The sequence below is a fragment of the Homo sapiens genome, chromosome 1 (genome assembly GCF_000001405.40).
Source record: "Homo sapiens chromosome 1, GRCh38.p14 Primary Assembly".
In the NCBI taxonomy this organism is placed as follows: Eukaryota; Metazoa; Chordata; class Mammalia; order Primates; family Hominidae; genus Homo; species Homo sapiens.
The window spans coordinates 247,935,514-247,959,673 of record NC_000001.11 but is presented as its reverse complement, the minus strand read 5'-3'; the positions used below and the strand labels follow the sequence as shown (position 1 = coordinate 247,959,673).

The following is a 24,160-nucleotide window of genomic DNA, read 5'->3' as shown; positions in this document are numbered from 1 at the left end:
GAAGAGAAGTTTAGAGAAAAAAGAATAAAAAGAAATGAACAAAGCCTCCAAGAAATATGGGACTATGTGAAAAGACCAAATCTACATCTGATTGGTGTACCTGAAAGTGACGAGGAGAATGGAACCAAGTTGCAAAACACTCTGCAGGATATTATCCAAGAGAACTTTCCCAATCTAGCAAGGCAGGCCAACATTCAAATTCAGGAAATACACAGAACGCCACAAAGATACTTCTTGAGAAGAGCAACTCCAAGAAAAGCAAATGTCAGATTCACCAAAGTATAAATGAAGGAAAAAATGTTAAGGGCAGCCAGAAAGAAAAGTCTAGTTACCCATAAAGGGAAGCCCATCGGACTAACAGCAGATCTCTCAGCAGAAACTCTACAAGCCAGAAGAGAGTGGGGGCCAATATTCAACATTCTTAAAGAAAAGAATTTTCAACCCAGAATTTCATATCCAGCCAAACTAAGCTTCATAAGTGAAGGAGAAATAAAATACTTTACAGACAAGCAAATGCTGAGAGATTTTGTCACCACCAGGCCTGACCTAAAAGAGCTCCTGAAGGAAGCACTAAAGATGGAAAGGAACAACCGGTACCAGCCACTGCAAAATCATGCCAAATTGTAAAGACCATCGAGGCTAGGAAGAAACTACATCAACTAACGAGCAAAATAACCAGCTAACATCATAATGACAGGATCAAATTCACACATAACAATATTAACCTTAAAAGTAAATGGGCTAAATATTCCAATTAAAAGACACAGGCTGGCACATTGGATAAAGAGTCAAAACCCATCAGTGTGCTGTATTCAGGAAAACCATCTCACGTGCAGAGACACACATAGGCTCAAAATAAAAGGATGGAGGAAGATCTACCAAGCAAATGGAAAACAAAAAAAGGCAGGGGTTGCAATCCTAGTCTCTGACAAAATAGACTTTAAACCAACAAAGATCAAAAGAGACAAAGAAGGCCATTACATAATGGTAAAGGGATCAATTCAACGAGAAGAGCTAACTATCCTAAATATATATGCACCCAATACAGGAGCACCCAGATTCATAAAGCAAGTCCGTAGAGACCTACAAAGAGACTTAGACTCCCACACAATAATAATGGGAGACTTTAACACCCCACTGTCAACATTAGAAAGATCAAAGAGACAGAAAGTTAACAAAGATATCCAGCAATTGAACTCAGCTCTGCACCAAGCGGACCTAATAGACATCTACGGAACTCTCCACCCCAAATCAACAGAATACACATTTTTTTCAGCACCACAACACACCTATTCCAAAATTGACCACATAGTTGGAAGTAAAGCACTCCTCAGCAAATCTAAAAGAACAGAAATTATAACAAACTGTCTCTCAGACCACAGTGCAATCAAACTAGACCTTGGGGTTAAAAAACTCACTCAAAACTGCTCAACTACATGGAAACTGAACATCCTGCTCCTGAATGACTACTGGGTACATAACGAAATGAAGGCAGGAATAAAGATGTTCTTTGAAACCAACAAGAACAAAGACACAACATACCAGAATCTCTGGGACACATTCAAAGCAGTATGTAGAGGGAAATTAATAGCACTAAATGCCCACAAGAGAAAGCAGGAAAGATCTAAAATTGACACCCTAACATCACCATTAAAAAAACTAGAGAAGCAAGAGCAAACACATTCAAAAGCTAGCAGAAGGCAAGAAATAACTAAGATCAGAGCAGAACTGAAGGAAATAGAGGCACAAAAACCCTTCAAAAAATCAATGAATCCAGGAGCTGGTTTTTTGAAAAGATCAACAAAATTGACAGACCACTAGCAAGGATAATAAAGAAGAAAACAGAGAAGAATCAAATAGATACAATAAAAAATGATAAAGGGTATATCACCACCGATCCCACAGAAATACAAACTACCATCAGAGAATACTACAAACACCTCTACGCAAATAAACTAGAAAATCTAGAAGAAATGGATAAATTCCTCAACACATACACCCTCCTAAGGCTAAACCAGGAAGAAATTGAATCTCTGAATAGACCAATAACAGGCTCTGAAATTGAGGCAATAATTAATATCTTACCAACCAAAAAAAGTCCAGGACCAGATGGATTCACAGCCGAATTTACCAGAGGTATAAGGAGGAGCTCGTACCATTCTTTCTGAAACTATTCCAACCAATAGAAAAAGAGGGAATCCTCCTTAACTCATTTTATGAAGCCAGCATCATCCTGATACCAAAGCCAGGCAGAGACACAACAAAAAAAGAGAATTTTAGACCAATATCCCTGATGAACATCGACGCAAAAATCCTCAGTAAAATACTGGCAAACCGAATCCAGCAGCACATCAAAAAGCTTATCCACCATGATCAAGTGGGCTTCATCCCTGGGATGCAAGGTTGGTTCAACATATGCAAATCAATAAATGTAATCCAGCATATAAACAGAACCAATGACAAAAACCTATGATTATCTCAATAGATGCAGAAAAGGCCTTCGACAAAATTCAACAACGTTCATGCTAAAAACTCTCAATAAATTAGGTATTGAAGGGACATATCTCAAAATAATAAGAGCTATCTATGACAAACTTACAGCCAATATCATATTGAATGGGCAAAAACTGGAAGCATTCTCTTTGAAAACTGGCACAAGACAGGGATGCCCTCTCTCACCACTCCTATTCAACATAGTGTTGGAAGTTCTGGCCAGGGCAATCAGGCAGGAGAAGGAAATAAAGGGGATTCAACTGGGAAAAGAGGAAGTCAAATTGTCCCTGTTTGCAGATGACATGATTGTATATCTAGAAAACGCCATTGTCTCAGCCCAAAATCTCCTTAAGCTGATAGGCAACTTCAGCACAGTCTCAAGATACAAAATCAATGTGCAAAAATCACAAGCATTCTTCTACACGAATAACAGACAAACAGAGAGCCAAATCATGAGTGAACTCCCATTCACAATTGCTTCAAAGAGAATAAAATACTTAGGAATCCAACTTAGAAGGGACGTGAAGGACCTCTTCAAGGACAACTACAAACCACTGCTCAATGAAATGAAAGAGGATACAAAGAAATGGAAGAACATTCCATGCTCATGGGTAGGAAGAATCAATATCATGAAAATGGCCATACTGCCCAAGGTAATTTATAGATTCAATGCCATCCCCATCAAGCTACCAATGACTTTCTTCACAGAATTGGAAAAAACTACTTTAAAGTTCATATGGAACCAAAAGAGAGCCCACATTGCCAAGTCAATCCTAAGCCAAAAGAACAAAGCTGGAGGCATCACGCTACCTGACTTCAAACTATACTACAAGGCTACAGTAACCAAAACAGCATGGTACTGGTACCAAAACAGAGATATAGACCAATGGAACAGAAGAGAGCCCTCAGAAATAATGCCGCATATCTACAACTCTCTGATCTTTGACAATCCTGACAAAAACAAGCAATGGGGAAAGGATTCCCTATTTAATAAATGGTGCTGGGAAAACTGGCTAGCCATATGTAGAAAGCTGAAACTGGATCCCTTCCTTACACCTTATACAAAAATTAATTCAAGATGGATTAAAGACTTAAATGTTAGACCTAAAACCATAAAAACCCTAGAAGAAAACCTAGGCATTACCATTCAGGACATAGGCATGGGCAAGGACTTCATGACTAAAACACCAAAAGCAATGGCAACAAAAGCCAAAATTGACAAATGGGATCTAATTAAACTAAAGAGCTTCTGCACAGCAAAAGAAACTACCATCAGAGTGAACAGGCAACCTACACAATGGGAGAAAATTTTTGCAATCTACTCATCTGAAAAAGGGCTAATAATATACAGAATCTACAATGAACTCAAACAAATTCACAAGAAAAAAACAATCCCATCAAAAAGCAGGCGAAGAATATGAACGGACACTTCTCAAAAGAAGACATTTATGCAGCCAAAAGAAAAAAAATGCTCATCATCACTGGCCATCAGAGAAATGCAAATCAAAACTACAATGAGATACCATCTCACACCAGTTAGAATGGTGATCATTAAAAAGTCAGGAAACAACAGGTGCTGGAGAGGATGTGGAGAAATAGGAACACTTTTACACTGTTGATGGGACTGTAAACTAGTTCAACCATTGTGGAAGTCAATGTGGCAATTCCTCAGGGATCTAGAAGTAGAAATACCATTTGACCCAGCCATCGCATTACTGGGTATATACCCAAAGGATTATAAAACATGCTGCTATAAAGACACATGCACACATATGTTTATTGTGGCACTATTCACAATAGCAAAGACTTGGAACCAACCCAAATGTCCAACAATGATAGACTGGATTAAGAAAATGTGGCACATATACACCATGGAATACTATGCAGCCATAAAAAAAGATGAGTTCATGTCCTTTGTAGGGACACGGATGAAGCTGGAAACCATCGTTCTCAGCAAACTATCTCAAGGACAAAAAACCAAACACTGCATGTTCTCACTCATAGGTGGGAATTGAACAATGGGAACACATGGACACAGGAAGGGGAACATCATACACCAGGGCCTGCTGTGGGGTGGGGGAAGGGGGGAGGGATAGCATTAGGAGATATACCTAATGTTAAATGACGAGTTAATGGGTGCAGCACACCAACATGGCACATGTATACATATGTAACTAACCTGCACGTTATGCACATGTACCCTAAAACTTAAAGTAAAAATATATATATATATATTGAATGAATGAATGAATGGCAAATTTCAGGTTATTTAGTGCAACATACTGTCAGAAATAGAAGTTGTACTGTATACATAATTGTAATTTTGAGAAAGTCTTAATGTATACATAATGATGATCTTTTTCTAGCAATTTTCAAGTCGTATTCTTATCTTCCTCCTGAACATGATGAAAACGTTGGCATGCTTTAAATATCCACTGATTATCCTCCTTATCTTGTTATGCAGAAATTCAGTTTTGCATTTTTAAACACATGAAATAAGTTACTAATTTTGTAGTCACTAGCAATTAAATCTAGCAGTACTCAAAAAATCAAAAAAAAAGAAAAGACATTTTATATTTCACTTTCAATTAAGGACCTTGATTGATACAATCAGATTTTTAATGTCAGTTTAAATTTAACTAGAAAACCCTATGAAAAGTAAGGGCAGTGATCCCAGGGATTTAGGAATATAAATGTATTTTAAAATATTTAGCAGACAAAATTAAAAGGATCTTATGTTGAATTTGTGGTAATGAGACAAAATAGCAGAGATTAAGTCCCAAATGTCAAATTGACCTCCATCCAATTTGTGGAATCCATGTATATATCTTTGCATTTTCTTACCATGCTGTAAGTACTGAATAATTATTCAGTAATTGAAAAGATATTTAGCCTTTAAAAGTCATTGTCTATTTTTTTCCAGATTTAAAAGGCAAGTAAAAAAAATTTAGTAGTGGTGGTTGACATAAATCTTACAAAAGGAAGCTACTTATTACTTCTGTGGAAACATGAGGGATCACCTCCACCTCACCCGCTTTATCTCCTATGTGAGCTTTCTGCCCAGGTATAGGAAACAAATTGATACAAGATGGATTAATGAAGGAAAAGCATATGAGTTTTATGCATTTCACATGTACATGGGAATCCTCACAAGAGTGTGAAATCTAAATAAATGGTCAAAGCAAGATGTCTTTATACTTTTAGAAACAGAATGATAAATTGCAGAAAAAATTACAAAGAAAAAAAAAGAGACACTGGCTCGAAACCATAAATTCCAGGGGAGTCCCTAGGAGGTATATGGGGGTGTAAAGATAGTGAAAAATAAGAGTTAATTCTGGTAGTTTATTTATTCAGGTACACTGCATTCCCCCAATTCCCAGGCTGTAGTGATAAGGGCTATTTTATATTCCATTACAGGGAGGGTACCGAAAGAGTATTAGAATGTACCAAAGACTCCTGGAGGAATCTTTAGAGCTTGCTGCATGCCAAAAAAGACAGGTCAGATAACCTCTTCCTCTAATGTTAACCAAAATTTCTTCAATGTTTTCAGCTCAAACTAATAAATATGCCAACTTAGCATATTTGTGGATGGCATATCATTCATTCCTTCAATTTACCCTATTTGACTATTGAACCACAGCTCTATTTGACTATTGAACCACAGCTTCTTGTGATGAGAAAGATACTCATCCTTTAAAATAGAAAGAATACTCATGTCCCTTTCCATAAATCAAATTTTGCTAATGTAATACATAAGAAATCTCTAAATGCACAGAGTCTATGTTATGAAATCCACATAGATACATAGATACCGCATGATATAAAATTTGCATCTCCTAGTCTAAGGACATGAAACAATTAAAGAATGACTGTGAAGTGCGAAATAATAACCACAGCATAACATTTGCATACAAAGAACAATGGCTAAAACGAGGCACAATGAACAGTGAGCCAAGGACTCTGTGAGGTAATGAATTCGTTAATTTCCCCATCAAGAGGAATTATCGTCCAACTTTCAAAATTATCTGGAGTACATTCTCATAAACAATGTAGTAAATGACAGTAGATTTGAATAATTTGACTTCTTTTTCTGTTGTTCTTCTTAATGACCTTAAGGGGAAAGGAGTGGCCTCTAAGTGAAGACAGCATGTTAGAGGGGTGACCTCTTTATCTCCAATCCCAGGGTCATTGGCATGAAAAATAGGATTACCATTGCCTCTACAGGAATGTCAGCAGTAAATGTCAGTGATGCCATTTACTGATCAGGTACAAGGCACCCATATTGTTTTTCAGTAAACTAACTTCAGAGAGATGGAATGATTTCCCCAAGGCCATGGTATGTCAGAGAAAATCACAGAGCTAGGTCTCCTGATTCCCTCCATGAATCACTACCTGAAATGGGTATAGGGTCTGAACCAGACACCACTGCTTAATTCAGTCCTCCCTCAGGCTCTTTCCAATAATAATAATTAACAAAAACAGCAGACATTCTTAGACTATTCAAGCTGCTATGAAAAAATATCTTAAACTGTGGTAACCTATAAACAACAGAAACATATTTCTCAGAGGTGTGGAAGCTGGGAAGTCCAAGACAAAGTGCCTGAAGATTCAGTGTCTGGAGAAATCTTGCTTTCTGGTTCATAGATGGTGGCTTCTATGACATCATAGATGGCACCGTCTACTGTGACCTCACATGGTAGAAGGGATGAACAAGCTCCCTCGAGCCTCCTTTAGAAAGGCATTAATCTTATTCAAGAAGGTGCTACCCTCATGACCTAATCATTTCCCAAAAGGCCCCTACTCCTAATACTCTCATTTTAGGGGTTTAGATTTAAACATATAGATTTTCAGAGGATACAAACACTCAGACCATCACACATTCCCACCACTATCCTAGACTGCATGATGTCATTCACTTCCTGTCCACTCTTTCCATCCTTCTCAGGACTGGCCTCACGGGCATATGCACAGGGTTCACACTCAAAGGGCTCCATGCATGGTTTCATGCTCTTCTGTTGTCATTGAAATATCTAATAATTTCATCTCTGAGTATGAATGTGATAGAGGAGCTAGACAGGCTGGCAGTGTTAGCACGCAGTTTGGGTCCACTGGTAGTGACTACACAAGTGGGCTCAGGCAACAACCACATGGGGCAATTGGCCTGGTCTTCTCATGCGCGCACGCGCGCACACACACACACACACACAAACACACACACATCTTGTAATACTTCACAGCACCACAGGACCCAAGCAGTGTCTGGGGTATGCCTGGGCTCATATTGATGGTGATGACAGAAGCAGCAGTGCAGGTGGCAGTAGGGTCCAAGTGTCCCTAGCTTGGAAGAGAGGAGGTGCTTGCCCTGGCAGCAGCAAGTGACTGCTGATGGGATGCCTATTTTCCCTCTGTCCCAGAGCCCACGCCTGTTGTATTCATTGAATATCAGAAAAGAAAAAGCCAGGAAGATTAGCAGTAAACATTGTTAGCAAACTATTACAAAATAAAAATATACACTGCTCATTGCAGCAAAACACAAAAAGGACTTACTCTGATTCATAAGACAAGTTCAAAATGTGTGTTTTAACTGCAACAACATTGCAAAACAAATATCCACAGGCTTAGAAATAGAAATGATGTTAAAGAGCATTTCAAGAATTTTAACTATGTAATACTTTACTGTTAACTTTAGTCATAGAAGAGAACAATAGAATTTATTTCTACAAAATACTGATGAAAGGAAATGAAGAAGAATACAAACAAATCGAAAGACATCCAATGCTTGTGGATTGGAAGAATTATTATTATTTAAATGACCAAACCTCAGATTCAATGCAATGTCTGTCAAAATACCAATGACATCTGCACATAAATAGTAAAAACAATTCTAAGATTTGTATGAACTATGAAAGACCCCAAACAGCCAAATCAATCCTGAAAAAAAGAGCAAAGCTGGAAGCATAACAGTAGCAAACTTCAAACTATACTACAAAGATGTAGTAATCAAAACAGAATAGTACTGGCATAAAAACAGATGCATAGAACAATGACACAGAACAGAGAATTCAGCAATAAATCCACGTATCTCTAGCTAACTGATTTAATTTTTTATTTTTAATCACTATGGATACATAATAGTAATATGTAATTATAGAGTGTATGTGATGTTTTGAAAAACACGTACAATGTGTAATGATCAAATCAGGGTAATTGGGATAACCAGCACCCCAAATATGTATCATTTCTCTCTGTTGGGAACATTCCAATTCCAAACTTTCAGTTATTTTTTAATATATACAATATATTCTACAATGAATTATTGTTTGCTACAGTCACTCTGTTGTGCTACCACATACTGGCTCTTATTCGTGCTATCTATATTTTTACAACCATTAACCGTCCCCACTTTATCCCCCCTCCCCTATACCCTTCCGATCCTCTGGTGACCACCAGTCTATTATCTATTTCTATTAGCTCAATTTTTAAAATTTTTAGGTCCTAGGTAGGAGTGAGAACATGCAAAATCTGTCTTTCTGTGCCTGACATAGTTAAATGATATCTGACAACAATGCCAAGAACATTTATTGGGAAACTGACAGTCTCTTCAATATAAGGTGCTTGTAAAACTGGATATCCATATGCAGAAAAATGAAACTAAACTCCCAATTCTTACACTATACCAAAATCAACATAAAATGGGTTAAAGACCTAAGTGTAATCATTCTTGATCACTGATGGCATCTTCCAATACTTGTTGTTGATCTAAAATTTACCTGATGTTAAATCATTTCCCTGGGATTCATTCCACTACAGAAAGCATAAACTTGTCACAGGCCATCCAGAGTGGTATCAGGACTTAAGAACCACTGATGAGCCTTCTGCTAAATCTCAGTAATAATAAGTCCCCCTAAATTGAAAGAAAGAGTAACTGGTACGTTAAGTGTCTAAGATAAGAAACAGAAAACATCTTATGGCTTTCAATTAGATCCACCAAGTCAAGAGATTTTTGGTTTTGTTTTAGACATAACCAAAAAAAAATTTTAATTACTGGAAAATAAATTGACAATAATAAAATTGTTATGCTGAGTGCCAACTTCAGTTAGGCCATTTTCATTTTCATTTCTGCATGACCAAAAAAAAAATTCTTATTGACAACATATTAGCAAAAATATGTACTTTCAAAATTTTTGGAAAAAGGCCATCAAGAAAAAAGGTTTCTTAGAATTATATATATATTTGTAAAACAATTTTGTCCATATATCAGTGATTTTCTTCTTCCGTTGGTTAGTTTTAGTCCTGCACTCTAGGAAGGACATAATATTTTAATTACTATACACTGCTGAATGGATGTGTATCTGAGTCCTGAGACCTTAGGCAGAAAGTGTTTCTACATTTTCACAGAGCAGATTCTCTGACTCACTCGTGTCAGGGCCCCCATCACCTCCTTGTTCCTCAGGCTATAGATGATGGGGTTGAGCATTGGGGTGAGGATGGTGTAGAAGACAGCCAGAACCTTGTCCTCTGTTGGAGATCGCAGGGATCTTGGACGTAGATAAGTGTAGACAAAAGGTGCATAGTAGAAAGTTACTACAGTGAGGTGGGTGCTGCAGGTCAAATAGGCTTTCTTCCTCCCTTCTGCAGATTTCATGTGGTAGACAGCAAAGAGAACCTGGCCATAGGAACATGAAATACCAATGAAGGGAAACACGAGAAAGATGGTGGCACTCAAAAACACTGTGCCCTCATAGACCCAGGTGTCCATGCAGGCCAGAGTCACCATTGCTGGGACATCACAGAAGAAATGATTGATGGCCCTGGATCGGCAATAAGGAATATGGAGTACATATACAGTGTGAGCACAAGCATTGATCGAGCCTATGATCCAAGACCCTGTTATCATCAGCACACACACTCTTTTGCTCATGCGGATGAGATAGTGGAGAGGAAAGCAAATAGCAATGTAACGATCATAGGCCATAGATGCCAAAAGTAGTGCTTCTGCACCTCCTAATGCCAAGAAGAAGAAACTCTGAATCCCACACCCAGTGAAGGAGATAGACTTGTTTCCATGCAGAAAATCAGATGCCATCTTAGGAACAATGGTGGAGATGTAATTTAGGTCAATGAGGGAGAGCTGACTCAGTAGGAAATACATGGGTGTGTGGAGATGGGTGTCCAAGAAGATGAGAAGAATCATGGACAGGTTTCCAATTAGAGCCATCAGGAAAATGAAAACAATGAGAATGAAGAAGAAAAGGTCAATTCTTGATGGTGGAAACAGCCCCAATAAGATGAAATCAGTTGATGTTTGATTGTAATTTTCCATGGAGCATTCCTACAATCCATTCGGAAGGGAGACACAAGAGTAATTTACGTACAGTAATTCGCCCTTATCTGCAGGGGATGCATTCCAAGCCCCCCCAGTGGATGTTTGAAACTGCAGTTGATACTGAACCCTAAATACACTATTATTTTTGTCTATACATACTTCTGATAAAGTTTAATTAATAAATTAGACAAGTAAGAGATTAACAAGAGTAACTGATAATAAAATAGAACAATTATACAGTATACTATAAATATGTGAATATGATCTCTATCTTTCTCAAAATCTTTTATTGTACTGTACTCAGACTTCTTTGTTCTGATTTTTACCTATTTTGAAAAAAGAAATCTTATTTTCTTACCCAGAGTTTCACATTTGATGAGATCAACATTTGTTACTAGTTTTTTTCTGAGAAATATGTAAATTTATAAGAAAGATACCTCTATTACAACTTCAATAGAATATGAATGGTTTACTGCCTGACGCAAACTCAGATACATTCAAAGTCAAATATTATACTGAATACCTATGCATAGAAAGTCACTATAAATGCATACATTACAGATTTATATTTGAATAAATTAGTCTTACCTTTATAGAATGATCTGTTATATTTCCACACTTATTCTTTTTCTTTTTTTTTAAGTGACAGGGTCTCTCTCTGTTACCCAGGCTGGAGTGCAGTGGCAAGATCATAGCTCACTGCAGCCTTGAACTTCTGGGCTCAAGTGATCCTCCTGCCTCAGCCTCCTGAGTAGCTGCGACTACAGCCACGTGCCACAATGCCTAGTTAACTTTATACTTTTGTAGACATGAAGTGTCACTGTGTTTCTCAGGCTGGTTTTGAACCCTCGGCCTCAGTAATCCTCCTGTCTCGGCCTTGCAAAGTGCTGTGATTGCAGGCAACAGCTCCCCACCCAACCCATGTTTATTCTGTCAGATTTACTTCTAAAACTGCAGCAGCTTGTCTCTCATTTTGAGAAACTTGAATGATCTTTGTGCAATAATGCCAAGTCAAACTTCTTTTGTCAGTTATAATTTGGTCCTCCTATTTAGAAACCTAGAATAAATCCTTATTGCTATGTCCCTTTTACGGAAAGTCATATTAATCCACACTCTTGATTTTCAATATTCATCATCATCCATTCTCTTTGGCCTCCTCGCCTAATTTCAGAATACTCTATTTAAAGCAGACCCCTTACCAAATATGTTACAGATTTTGTCTTTTGCTTCTCTAGTGATTAGATAACATTACACATTGCTTTATGGATCCTTCAAAAGAATGCACTTGGAGGAGCATGCAATTGCCTAAATAAAAAAAAGAAACTAAAATTCTGACAGACTTCTAGGTAGAGGTGTGTTAGAAATTCCACTCCAGATGTAAGACATCAGTAAACAGCTTTGCACAGTAAGCCTAAAAGAACCAGAGTTTTTAGGCTTAAATATTAGTCTAGAGCCAAAGATCACCAGAATTTGGAGCAAGTATAACAACATGTACGAGGAAGATTCCCAGTGTGCAAACACACACAAATATGCACAATCACACACAGTCATATGCATAAATACACTGACTTTAAAATGATTAAAATATGCAGAAAGAATAGTTTTTTGTGATCAAAATTCCTTTCTTCAGAGATGTATGATCTGTTATGAAATCCATAAAATAAATATCATTTGCTATATGAAAGGATGTGACACGTAACATTAAAGAACTTTTGAAAACTAAAATTGTATTAATTGATAAAAATATTAAGCGGAAGTTTCAAAAGACAAAGTAAGAAAACTCTATTTGAAGGTAAACAAAAGCAATAACCACATGAAAAGACTGCTATTTAGGGAAGATAGAAAAATGAGGGGATTCATACAGGAGGACCAATATGTGCTTAAGGACATTCCTAGAAAGGGATATAGCAAAATAATAGTGAAGTTAGTATTCTTAAAAAAATTTCTCTCAACTGAAATATATTAACTATCATGTTCAAATGCAATAGTTTTTTTTTGTATTGCAGCAATAAATTCTGTAAGATGAAATGATGTTGTCAACCCCTCATTGCAGACATAAAGTGGAATGTAATTCTGCTGTGACAATGGGAGAAGGGTAAGGAACCTGGGGGTGATTATGGAGGAGGGAGCAGGTCGCTATCCATGCTAGCATATATCATGGGTCAAGGAATGCTATTTGGGATATAGAAATCAGGCATTAGCAGATGAACATATTGTCTAAAAATACAAGGGCAAATATGGGGAAAAACTGGAAAGATAAATTGAAGTCCTTGCCTTTGGGGTCAGCAAGAGTTTGTTATGTTTCTAACATTTTACCCTGTGGTCTGCTGAGACTATGTCTATGCATTACTTGAATAAAACATTAAAGTGATGTAAAAATTTTGTCCCAGTTAAGAATTTAACCTGCAGCTTCATCATAATAATGAAGGACTGGCAGCTTTTAGTCTGAGATTTGGAACAAGACACTACAGTCCACTTTCCCGGCTTCTGTTCAACATATTACTGGAAGTTCAGTCAAAGCAATTAAATAAGAAAGAAATAAAAATATCTTAATTCAAAAGAAAAGTAAAATTATTTCTGTTTGCATATGACATAATTATATATGTAGAAAACTTAGGATAAGCAATAAACAAAATCAGGAAAATTATAGGATGTAACATCAACAACAGCCAAAACCTGCTGTACTTCTATACACTAACAATAAACAATCTGAAAATTGCACTCTCATTTTATTAACAATAGTATCAAAAAGAAATGAAACACTTAGAATAAACCAAACCAAGGAGGTGAAAACTTTACACACTGAAAATGACAAAATGCTGATTACAGCGATTAAAGAAGACAAAAATAAATGGAAATGCATCCTACATATTTATTTATCGAAGGCTAATACGGTTAAGATGTCAACAATACCCAAAGTCACCCATTGGTGTGCTGTATTCGAGAGACACATCTCATGTGCAAAAATGCACATAGACTCAAAATAAAGGGATAGAGGAAAATTTACCAAGTGAATGGAAAGAAGGAAAAAGCAGGGGTAGCAATCCTAGTTTCTGACGAAATAGACTTCAAACCAACAAAGGTCAAAAAAGACAAAGAAGGGCATTTTGTAATGTTAAAGAATTCAATTCAACAGGAAGAACTAACCACTTTAAATGTATATGCACCCAATCCAGGAGCACCCGGATGCATAAAACAAGTTCCTAGACACATACAAAGAGTCTTAGACTCCCACACAATAATAGCGGGAGACTTTAATACCCCACTGTCACTATTAGATCTTGAGCCAGAGAATTAACAAAGATATTCAGGACTTGAACTCAGCTCTAGACCAAGTGGACCTGATAGATATCTACAGGACTCTCCATCCAAAAACAATATACATTTTTTCACCACCATATGGCACTTACTCCAAAATTGACCACATAATTGGAAGTAAAACACTCCTCAGCAAATACAAAATAAATGAAACCATAACAAACAGTCTGTCAGACCACAGCACAATCAAATTAGAACTCAAGATTAAAATATCCCTCAAAACCACACAACTACATGGAAATTGAACAACCTGCTCCTGAGTGACTCCTGGGTAAATAATGAAATTAAGGCAGAAATCAAGAAGTTCTTTGAAATCAATGAAAACAAAGAGACAACTTATCAGAATCTCTGGGATGCAGCTAAATCAGTGTTAAAGGGGAAACTTATGGCACTAAATGCCCACAGCAAAAAGCTAGAAAGATCTCAAATCGACACCCTAACATCACAACTGAAAGAACTGGAGAACCAAGAGCAAACAAACCCCAGAGCTAGCAAAAGGTAAGAAATAACCAAGATCAGAGAGAAACTGAAGGACATGGAGACACAAAAAACCCTTCAAAAAATTAATGAATCCAGGAGCTGGTTTTTGAAAAAAAAAATCAATAAAATAGATAGATCATTAGCAAGACAAATACAGAAGAAAAGAGATAATATTCAAACAAACACAATCAGAAACCATAAGGGAAATACCACCATTGATCCCACAGAAATACAATCATCAGAGAATACTAATATAAATTATTCTATTATAAAGGTACATGCACGTGTATGTCCATTGCAGCACTATGCTCAGTAGCAAAGATGTGGAATCAACCCAAATGCCCATTAATGATAGACTGGATAAAGAAATTGTGGTACGTATACACCATGGAATACTATGCAGCCATACAAAGGAACAAGATCATGTCCTTTGCAGGGACATGGATGGAGCTGGAAGCCATTATCCTCAGCAAACTAATGCAAGAACAGAAAAGCAAACACTGCATGTTCTCACTTGTAAGTGGATGCTGAACAATGAAAACACATTGACACAGGGAGAAGAACCACACTTACTGGGGCCTGTTGGGGGAGGACAATTTGGGGGAGAGCATTAGGGAAAAGAGATAATGCATGCTGGGCCTAACACCTAGGTGATGAATTGATAAAAGCAGCAAACCACCATGCCACATGGTTACCTATGTAACAAAACTGCACATCCTGCATATGTACCCTGAAACTTAAAAACAAACAATAAAATAATTATTAAAAAAATAATAAAGCATGCAAAGCAAAAAAAAAGATTCAATGGAATCTCCATCAAAATTCAAATAAATCTTTTTTCTCACAAACAGAAAGCTCATCCTAAAATTTATATGAATCTTAAAGGATCCTCAATATTCAAAAAATCTTGACTTTTTTTAAAAAAGAACAAAATTTAAAGACTCATCCTTTCTGATTTTAAAACTTACTCAAAGCTATAGTAATCAAAACAATGTGGCACTGGCACAAAGCCAGACATATAGCCCAACAGAGGAAAACAGAGTCAAGAAATAGACTCTCATATACATGGCAACCTTTTTTCAAAAAGGGAACTAAGTCCACTCGTGGAGAAGGGACAGTCTTTTCGATAAATGGTGTTTGGAAAAGTGGATATTTACATTCAAGATATTGAAGTTGGATGTTTACTTTATAGTATATAGAAAAATTAAGTCAAAATGAATCAAAAATCTAAATGTAAGAGAAAAAATTATAAAAGAATAGTTGGGGGAAATGTCAAATAATAAAGGCACTGTGGAAAATGATACAGATGCTTCTCACTTACAGTGGAGTTTCACCCTGAAAAAACCATCATAAGTTGAAAATACTGTAAGTAAAAAGTTAATATCCTGATAAACTCATCATAACATAAAAAGGTGCAAGTCAAACCATCATATGTCCAGGTGCTCCTCAATTTACACTGGGGTTATGTTTCGATAAATTCATCATAAAGTCAAAAAACATCAAATTATTGTAAATCTGGAACCATATGTGTAGGAATTCCTCAAAATTTAAACATAGAATTAGTATATGATCCAACAATTTCAGTGTATCCAGTAAATAAAAGCAGACACCTGAACAGATATTTTTGGATTTTTTTTTATTCAGGGAGTACATTTGTGGTTTGTTACATGGTTATATTGTGTGATGCTGAGGTTTGGGCTTCTGTTGAACCCTTCACTAAAATAATGAACATAGTACAAATAGGTAGCTTTCCAACCCTTGCCTCCTCCCTCACTCTCCTCTTTTGGAGTCCCCAGTGTCTACTATTCCCATCTTTATGTCCATGTGTACCCAATGTTTAGCTCCCACTTATTTGTTACTCTGTTTTTGCATCAAACAAATATTTCTATGCCCATGTTTATAGCAACATTATTCACAATAGCCCAAAGGCAGAAAGAAAGAAAGTGCTCATCTACAGAAGAATCAATAAAAATGTATGTATATATAGTTTTAAAAAGAGAAGACATTTTGACGCATGCTACAACATGGATGAACCTCGAATATATTATGCTAAGCGAAATAAGTCCGTCACAAAAGACAAATATTGTATGAATTCGCCTACACGAAGTACCCAGAGTAGTGAAATTCATAGAGAGAGGAAGTGGAAGAGTGGACCCCAGGGAATGGGAGAAGGGAGAGAAGGAGAGTAATTGTTTAACAAGAACAAAGTGTTAGTTGGAGACAATGAAACTGTTTTGGATATGCACGATAGGGATGATTGCACAATATAAATGTGCAATGACACAGAACTCTACACTTAAAATGGTTAAAATGGTGTTTCTCTTATATATATTTACCCTAATAAAAATCATTTAAATGCACTGAAACTATTCTAATTTAATTTCCAAATACATTTTTTAAAAATTTTGGCAGGTTTCTGCTTCTCTGCAGAGCAATTTATTTTCAGTTACTTTATGACTTTGGGCAATTTTTTATAGAAAATTTAGAACACCAAATTATTTTCATAAATGTCATTAGGAATCAATAAGAGACTGGGATTAAGACTAATCCAATATTATATAATTTATATTACTAGTTTAATTATTGGCAAGTAGAACATGTAGTACACTGAGTCAGTTTCTCAGACAAGCTCGGTAGCCCCACTGGTTCCGTGGACCCACTGGAATTCAGGATCTAGAAAACATTTTATGTAGAAAACTTGAGGTTTCCTAATATTAAAGATGATATCTAAAGAAGCAATTAAGGGAAATGAGGACCTTGTGACAGGGGCTACATGACTTTTAAGCACTAAGCAGCCACACAAAATAGGTTATTGGGCAAGCTGGTTCATGCTTACTGTATGCTTCTACTAAAAGTTTATGCTTTTGGTTAAAAACCCAGAATTTAGTTTTATTCATTTTGTGAGGATGGTTTCCAGATGATTTGCACCCATGAGTTTGAGACCAGTCTGGGCAACTTATTCCAATTATTTTTAGGCCCAATATGTAAGTGAGATCATGTAGTTTTTTTGTGTATGTGTGTATCTGAAAGCCAGTCTGGATTGAAGGACAGAAAGAAAGGAAACCAAGACTGGTACTGGGAGGCTACAGTCATAGTAACACAATAATTCCCAGTATTTACCAGCTTGTGAGACCAAATGGGAATTAATCATGATTGGGATTCTCACTAGGAAGGCTCCATGCCACAAAATCTGAAACATACAGAAACTTTAAGATGCCGAAGAGAATAAGAGACATTCCTGTATCCCTGCCACACATTGTATTCATTAATGAAATGAAGAGACAGCCTTTGTACACAGCTCTGAGTCACACTCCATCACTAGGTTCTATAGGTACCAATGCTTGTCCATTTGTTTCACAAATTCTTTCATGACAAGGTCTCTCTCTTTCATGACAAGGTCTCTCTCTCTCTCTCTTTTTCTCTATCTCTCTCCATTCGGCGTCTGTCCAAATAGCACCACAGGAATTTGTTGGTTTAATTGAGGAATCAAGACCAAAATCCATCTATTTTTTTCATCTTCCATGTCTATTTCTCCAAGTATCATGCATATAACAAACTTCTTACATATTCCATATCTCCTTTACAATGACCATGTAAATAAATAAATGAGGGGCATGGTAATGCTAGTTCATCAGAAAGTCTAGTATCCATTCACCATTCTTTATATATCTAAACTCTCTTTTGACATGCCTCAGAGAGCAAACCTTTCAATATCTATGATATAACCCAAATACTTACTCCTCTACCTGACTTATAAGTCTCCAAAATTAACAGCAACAAAATAAAATTGATGAGCAGGACCTAACTAAATGAAAGAACTTCTGTGCAGCAAAAGAAACTACCAACAGAGGAAACAGCCAACCTACAGAATAGGAAATAATATTTGCAAACTAAGCATCTGACAAATATCTAATGCCCAGAATATATAGGGAAGTTAAATAAATCAACAAGCAAAAAACAACCCCATTAAAAAATGCACAAAGTACATGAACAGACACATCTCTGAAGAAGACATACAAGTGGCCAACAAGCATACGAAAAAATACTCAGCATCACTAATCATCACAGAAATGCAAATCAAAACCACAATGAGACACCATTTCATACAAGTCACAATGGCTATTACAAAAAATTTAAAAAAAAGCACAGATGTTGATGAAGCTGCAGAGAAAAGGGAATTCTTATATGCTGTTGGTGGGAATGTAAATTAGTCCAGCAGCTATGGAAAGCAGTCTGGAGATTTCTCAAAAAATTTAAAAAGGATACCATTTGACGCAGCAATTCCATTGCTTAGCGCGCGCACACACACACACACACACACACACGCACGTATGCACACACACACACAAAATCATTCTACCAAAAAGGCACATGCATTCATATGTTCATTGCTGCACTATTCACAACAGCAAAGACATACATTCAACCTAGGTGCTCATCAACAGTGAGTTGGATAAGGAATACCTATAGGTTTTCTGTTAAATTCAACCCAAAACTTTGATAACAATTATTGTTACTGTCTTAAAGTTTCCAATTATAGAAGGCAAAGTAACACTTTCACCCATTAAAGCTTGCTATGATACCTTTATATTTTGTTAAATACTTTATGATATTTATTAAATATACAAAATCTAGTTAACTTGATAAAATTAACTTAAAACATTTACCTCATTAAAATGTTTTTCTAGTTTTTCCTATTAATAAAACCATTTAAAAGTATTCCTAATAGAAACATTTATTTTTCTCTTTGCAATAACTTTTAGGATAAATTGTTAGAAGGGTTTGTAAAATATAAGCCTGTATGTATACATGAAATAAGACATAATTTTCAGGATATTCTTAAATATTGTATTCATGCTTCCAACAAAGAATGAGAAACTTGATTTGACTACAATCAATGTATGTAAGTATGTGTATGTATATATGTGTATGTGCATGTATTTTTCACTTGAGGAAACTAAAGTGTCAAAACAAACCATTCAATGAATAATGGTAATTTCAAGTGGAGTTGTAGATTTTTGAAAAGAAACTGATTGTGAGACTTGAAATACAATTTTAGGAAGTTTCATAAAAACACAGATATTATATTAGTACATGTTTTTAATATAATGGTTTGATTGTATTTCAAATGTAATTCTTATATATTCTTACAATTTTAGTGGGAGGGTGGTGGAAGCCTTAGGTTATCTTTGTCTTTCTAGAGTGTGTTGAGTGATTGAAATCGGTACCCACAAGAGGAACAATACATTTTTAGACATGCATTGAAAAAACAAACATATGTAAAAACTTTATTATTATTGGGGTTTTGAAAATATCCACATCTTTCTACACTTAGAAAGACAGAAGGTTCGGTTTTCTTTCCAAAGAAACTAACAACACTCTATAGACATTGAATGTGGAAATAGAGGGAATACACAAGTGAAAGGAATTTTCCTATTCTTTTTTTTATGTAGAATGTTGCTCTAGAGCATATTTTTCATTGCCACCAGAACACTGTCAGTGCCAACGCTGTAGACGACAGGATTGAGTGTAAGTGCAAGGAAAGCATAGAATATTTCTAGAAACTTAACCTGGCCTGAAATGTGGATGATTTAAGTCTCATATACATATGTGAAAATGAATGAGTCCCAGTATGTTACAACTGCAATCATGAGGATGGACCAAGTGGAAAATGACCTTTTCCATGCCTGTGATAATTTCATCTAGAGGACACCTCACAGAATTTGGACAGAAGAAGCAGAAATCATAGAGAAAGGAATGAGCAAAAATATGATGCTGCTTACATTAACTCCTCATTCACCCTCTAGTGTTTCTACATAAGAGAATCTGATGTAGATATAAGAATATATATTTCTTTCCTAAAATAAGTTTCAATTTGTTTACTTACTAAGCCAGGTAGCAGTTTATTAAGCAGAATCGATTTACTTAGGCACTATAGAGACTAGTGGCTAATAGCCTCTTAAACTCTCTAAGCGAATACAAAATTTTACCTTATTTTGTCTAATTAATGTCTTGCATCCTTTACTTATAGCATAAGAACTCAATAGAAAAAGCTGCGTTTCTTCTCAAATGAATTGCCACAAAAGTTTAAAGGACATATCCAGCTACCAGCGACCTACAACGGAATGTTCAAAAGACTATGTGTATCTCCACCACAATACCCAGGTATCTGAACACGCACCACTACAAATGCATGTCTTTAGATTGTGATAGGCTTTACCTTTAAGCCTAATTATTTCTATGTGCAGTACTTTAGGTATGTGGTTAATGTTTAAAATATCTTACTTTCCACTTCCAATTTCATCCAAGTATGCTTTACAATCCCACACTGATTGAACCATGCTCTTTACACTCTTTATTAAGAAAAATATATGTGTGTGTGTCAGTGTGTATGTGTGCATGTGTGTGTGGGCATGTTTATTTACATGAAGTCTTCTACTACCCTCAATGTAGGCGTTTCTATGTTTCTATATCCCCAACAGGAAAAAAATGTTTTTTAGCCCTATCACAGATTATTTTTGTATTTTAATCTGGAAATTTGTAAATCTATGAATTCTGACTTCTAAACTTCTATATCATCCTCAGATCTGTTCAGCAGAATGACTTTCTCTTGCTTACAATAATATCTTGCTATTCGGATTTTTACTGTCTCTGATTTCATGCTGCTCTTGGGTCCACATTAGGTATTATTATGAGTTGTAAAAGCAGGCTTTAAAAAAATACAGCACCTGATGCATCTAATATTAACATTAGCACTTCCAGTCAATTTTGAACGTCTCTTAGCAATACATTTTTATATATCATTATATTAGTAATTTTACTCATTCTCTACTGAAATAAAACTCCTTAGCACACCAGGGATAGGAGACTGTTACAGGACTGGAATCAAGTAAAAAAACTCAATTGTCAGGGAAAAAATGTTATTAATATATAATAATTGCTTATTTTATGTCTAAATTATGAACATTAAATAGTTGTATTATTAGAAGATAATTTCATAGTTTATTTAAGGTCCTTAATATATATTGCCACACTGTTCTTTTTAAAATGTTTGTACCATATTTCATGTATGCCTACAATATGTTATGATGTCCAATTCACCAAAATATGGTTAACATTTATTACTATTGTTTTTAATTTTCCAATTGTGAAAGGCTAATCATTTTTCATTAAAGTTTCATATATATCTTCATATTTTGTTAAATATTTATTTCTATAGTATAAAACATTTAGTTGGCATGCTATAATAAAATTAACCTGAACATTTATTTCATTAAAATGTGTTTTTCTAGTTTTTGCTATGAATAACATTACTTAGGGGAGAGGCGCTCAGGGGAGTGGGTCCCAGCGGCAGCTGAGCCTGGGAGAGGAGGCCCCAGAGCCAGCCCCATCCCTGAGCTGCTGATGGGAGGGGAGGAGTCCCCTGAACCAGCCCCGTAGCTGAGGGGTTGATGGAAGAGGAGGCCCCAGAGCCAGCCCCATCCCTGAGCTGCTGATGGGAGGGGAGGAGTCCCCTGAACCAGCCCCGTAGCTGAGGGGTTGATGGAAGAGGAGGCCCCAGAGCCAGCCCCATCCCTGAGCTGCTGATGGGAGGGGAGGAGGGCTGACAGTCGGGAGCAAGAAGGGAGACTGCGGTAACCGCCCCGTCCCCAGGGGGCCTCTCGTCTGATACCTCGGTCTGGAAGGCGTGCCCAGCTGCCCTTCCGCAGGAGACACCAGTGTGTAGAGCAGAGCCCTTCCTTTCGAGAGGGTCTTCACGCTCTCATCGTGGTCGGCGGTCGCGGGAGAGGGGCCCTCCTGGACCCGCAAGCACGCCCACTACTGCCAAAGACGCCGCGGCTGGTCTCGCAGCAGCGCGTCCTCCGGCAGCCCCAGCGAGTGAGCCCGGGGCTCGGGTGCGGAAGATGATAAAGAGGCTCCACCTGGTGGCCGCAGCGGGTCCTGAAGGAGCGCGTCCTCCGGCAGCCCCAGCGAGTGAGCCCAGGGCGCAGGTGCGGAAGATGATAAACAGGCGCCACCTGGTGGCCGGGTCGGTGATTGGCCCCAAGAGCAATAAAGACAAGTGGGAACCTGGGCCAAGGCGCCTGTGGCAAGGGGGTGAGTGCTTGGACCCTGCCAGAAGGACGTCTCGGGTTGCCGGAGGGTCATCTGCAATGTGGGCAAGCACCGGGAGGCGGCACCGCCAAAACTCAACGCTCTCGAAAAAAATAAACGAGAAGGACTAAGAGAACCAGCTGCTGTGCGTCTTGGGGTGTGACTGGTTCACCCTCCGCGGTCCATGCATATCACCTTTGAGCTCCTGGGCAGGAAAACCCTTGAGTTCCCGAAGGAGAATAACATCCAGCCATTCCCCTCCCACATGTCTGGCACATGGCCCACCAGCTCTGCCACACCCTTAGATTTCTGCACGAGAACCGGCTGACCCACGCACACCTGAAAACCGAGAACATCCTGCATGTGGATTCTGAGTTAAACACCGTCTACAGCGAGCACAGGAGCGATGAGAAGTCAGTGAGGAGCACCAGCGTCCGAGTGGCTGACTTCCCCAATGCCACCTCTGACCGTGGGCACCACATCGCCATGGTGACCACGGTCACTGTCGCCTGCCTGAACTGATCCTTGATCTGGGCTGGACACGCCCCTGCCATGTCCAGGGCATGGGCTACCTTCTCTTTAAGTACTACCAGGTTTCACACTCTTCCAGACCTGTGAAAACCAAGAGCGCCTGGTGATGTTGAAGACCCTACGGCTCATCCCATTACGCGTGATCTCCTGTACCAAGAAGCAGAAATATTTCTACAAATGGGGCCTAGTTTGGGATGAGAACAGCTCTGACAGCCCATATGTGAAGAACTGCAAACGTCTGAAGAGTGACATGCTCCAAGACTCTCTGGAGCACGTGCAGCTGTTTGACCTGATGCGGAGGGTGGTAAAATTGGACGCTGCCCAGCACATCACTCTGGCTGAGACTCTTCTGCACCCCGTCTTTGCTGGCCTGGCAACCTCAGTCGTGGTCCTTCCACACAAGCCACAACCCAAGCAGATGACAGACGCAGGACACTGCATGAGGAGAGCGGAACTGGGCTGCCCAATCCCCATTCTCCAGCCCCTACCACCAGGTCCCAGGACCAGAACCACACAATGAGCAGTGCAATGTGAAGGAAGGCAGGAGCCTGCGGGGGAGCAGACTTGGTGCCCAGCTGCCAGAAGGCAGATTTGACTCAAGCTGTTCATACGTGTTTTTTGTTTTTGTTTTTGTTTTGTTTTTTGTTTGTTTTTTTGAGATGGAGTCTAGCTCTGTGGCCCAGGCTGGAGTGCGGTGGCGCCATCTTGGCTCACTGCAAGCTCCGCCTCCCGGGTTCCCGCCATTCTCCTGCCTCAGCCTCCCGAGTAGCTGGGACTACAGGCGCCCGCCACCACGCCCGGCTAATTTTTTTGTATTTTTAGTAGAGACGGGGTTTCACCGTGTTAGTCAGGATGGTCTCGATCTGCTGACCTCGTGATCCGCCCACCTAGGCCTCCGAAAGTGTTGGGATTACAGGC

The 24,160-nt window shown here is 38.0% G+C and overlaps 2 protein-coding genes and 2 pseudogenes across 3 annotated transcripts in view; 1 reads left to right on the top strand and 3 right to left on the bottom strand.

The window, feature by feature from the left end:
* Positions 1-22,497, bottom strand: part of OR2L13 (olfactory receptor family 2 subfamily L member 13) — a 163,987-nt gene extending 141,490 nt beyond the window's left edge. For both annotated transcript variants that reach the window (NM_175911.5, NM_001304535.3), the window contains exon 1: positions 22,290-22,497. The gene's annotated coding sequence lies outside the window, so the exon portion shown is untranslated. The remainder of the gene's footprint in view (positions 1-22,289) is intronic.
* OR2L8 (olfactory receptor family 2 subfamily L member 8) lies at positions 9,878-10,816 on the bottom strand. Its single transcript, NM_001001963.1, has one exon. It carries the CDS (start codon positions 10,814-10,816, stop codon positions 9,878-9,880), a length of 939 nt encoding a protein of 312 aa, NP_001001963.1.
* OR2X1P (olfactory receptor family 2 subfamily X member 1 pseudogene) lies at positions 19,858-20,602 on the bottom strand (annotated as a pseudogene).
* Positions 22,546-23,860, top strand: CLK3P2 (CDC like kinase 3 pseudogene 2; annotated as a pseudogene).